This window comes from Homo sapiens, chromosome 15 (assembly GCF_000001405.40).
Source record: "Homo sapiens chromosome 15, GRCh38.p14 Primary Assembly".
Classification (NCBI taxonomy): domain Eukaryota; kingdom Metazoa; phylum Chordata; class Mammalia; order Primates; family Hominidae; genus Homo; species Homo sapiens.
The window spans coordinates 67,881,311-67,883,817 of NC_000015.10; the positions used below are offsets into that span (position 1 = coordinate 67,881,311).

A 2,507-nucleotide genomic window follows, 5' to 3' on the forward strand; every position below is an offset into this window, starting at 1 on the left:
GGTCTCACTCTGTCACCTAGGCTGGAGTGCAGTGGTGTGATCATGGCTCACTGCAGCCTTGACCTTCTGGGTTCAAGTGATCCTCCCATCTCAGCCCCCTGACTAGCTGGGACCACAGGTGCATGCCACTGCACGGGCCTAATTTTTAAAATGTTTTGTAGAGATCAGGACTCACCATGTTGCTCAGGCTGATCTTGAACTCCTGGCCTCAAGTAATCCTTCTGCCTCAGCCTCCCAAAGTGCTGGGATTACAGGCATGAGCCACCATACCAGGCCTCTGCAGTTATTTTTGTTGAGAATTATATAGGGCCCGTTCAATTGTATTTTTCTCAAATTCAAGCCAATCAGAATGGCACCTTTCACCTCAATTTTAACAGATACCAGGAACCAAGATCACCACACACACGCAATATAATGATGAAATTTCATGTTCAAATCACATAACTAAATGCTGATTTGTGAACATTTTTAGATTTTCCTAGGTGATAAAAATGATACAGTCATTAGTTTTTTTCAAGGACAGTCTCCCACTTCTCCTGAGTTGGATGTGCCACCAGCCCACCTTAGAGCCAGCCCTGGGGAAATGCAGAGGGAGACAGAGGGCAAATTCGGTGTTTGTTATAATCATGTGTGATGCTATGTAAGAGCTATCTTTAGCTGTGTACCTCCCTTATTCTTGAGGGGTAGAGTAAGGTGGGGTGACCACCAAAGGAAGCCAGCAGGCTTCGTTCGCCTCCAGGGAATGAGATTCCTTGTCTCCCTCTCTTTCTTACTTTGGCCACTGAAATTTCTCCAAAACTCTTCTTAGGAATAAAGAAAAAATCAAGGGTGCAGATTATGGCAAGAACATAGTTAAGGTATGCAGTTTTGTTTCATTTAATGAGAAAATATAGTGGTTGTGTTAAGAAATTAAATGGCTCACACATTGATCCTCATTGATATATATTGAATGTTGTTTATCAAAAACATTGTGAATTTATTTGGTTTAAAACAAATATCAAACTTCAAATCAAACTTAAGTAGTAAGTCTAATATTAATGGAGATGAACTAGGATTCGAACTGAGCAAGGAGGGGGAAGGGATGGAGGAAGGAGGACTTTTTCTGTTTAAAATCTAAGGAGCCCTGGAACTTACAGAAATTCAGCCCTGTTTTTGGTACTAGGGAGATACAAAGATCAGATCTCTTCTGCCCCTGCTTGTAAGGCAGGAAATTTTCTGTCTACTTAAGTAGATGAGACACAAATCTGCAAAGTCATATAGCAGAACAGGAAGCTACTGTCAAGAGATGTTACAAAGGGGCGGGGGAGAGTAGGGAGTTGAGGTGGCGGGTAAGGATATGCCAAGTGTCAAGTAGATAGTGCAGGAAAGAAATGCACATTTCTCCAAGGGGGTGGTATCCACAATGGGTTGGAATGGCCAGGGAAGCTATTCTCTCCCCTTCCCTTCCTTCCTTCCAGTTCTAGGCATTGGGGGATACAGTGGTGAAGAAAACAGAAAGAAATCCTGCCCTTCTGGAATTTACATTCTAATGGGGGCAAGACAGACAACAAATGAAATAAATACAAATAACAGTGTGTAAGACAGTGATACGTGCTATGGAAAAAATAAAACAGGGAAAAGGAATCAGGACTATTGGGAGAGTGTAATTTAAATATTATGGTCAGGGAAGGCCCCACAGAAAAGGCGACGTGAGTAAAAACTGAAGGAGATGAGGGAGGGAACCATGTCAGTATTCAGAGGAAGAACATTCGGAACAGAGGGAGCAAATATGCAAAGCACTTATTCGGCACCTACTGCATGCCCACATGACAGCAATAGCAATATGTGGCTATTTGCCAAACTGTCTTCATTCGTGAAACATTTAAGCTTACTACAGAAGATAAGAGTTTTTTTCTTTCCCATGAGGTTGAGAATATATGGAGGATGGGTTGCCCAGAAGCAGTGGCAACATTTGCATTAAAAGAAGGCAGCCTTTTAACCCGAGGAGGAGGCTGAGAATCCAATGACTTTTCTGTCATACGATTGAGGGGACAGGAGCCTAGTGATAATGGGACACGGAGCTTCGGCTGCAGAGCTCTCTTTTGTCCACAATTTAGGGCAACTGTCTTGCACTCTGCCTCCATCCTCTGGGTAGACTCAGTGGAGGAAACGTTTCCACAGGCACCAGGCAACCGGGCTCCTGGAAGCAGCAGACCCGGGAGAGGAGAGCAACTCCCCAGCTTGGTGTTAGATATCATCTGAGACTCCTTACACCCTCGCAGCTTAGAAGCTCCTCAGATTACCAGGCAAGGCAAAGTTGATTTTGACAATGTCTGGGGAAGGAAGGGCTGCTCTTCCTGGCTGGCTGGCATAATCAGACTCTGGAGGAGTCGGCCTGCCTATCAAAGGAGGTGAGAGCTAAGTTGTTGCTGCCTTTCCGCTTCAGGATGAATGGATTCCACCCCATTGAACTGGAGTGACCTGGCGCCTGGATTCTTTCATCTCTAAAATGGGAAAAATAATTGTTG

At 44.4% G+C, this 2,507-nt stretch overlaps 1 annotated feature.

Moving 5' to 3' along the window:
- Nucleotides 1,011-1,511: a transcriptional cis regulatory region, noted in NCBI's record as "candidate enhancer chr15.1880 targeted for multiplex CRISPR interference". NCBI's record gives its function as "positively regulates FEM1B gene expression in K562 cells {active_cell/tissue: K562}" and the evidence as "EXISTENCE:mutant phenotype evidence [ECO:0000015][PMID:30612741]".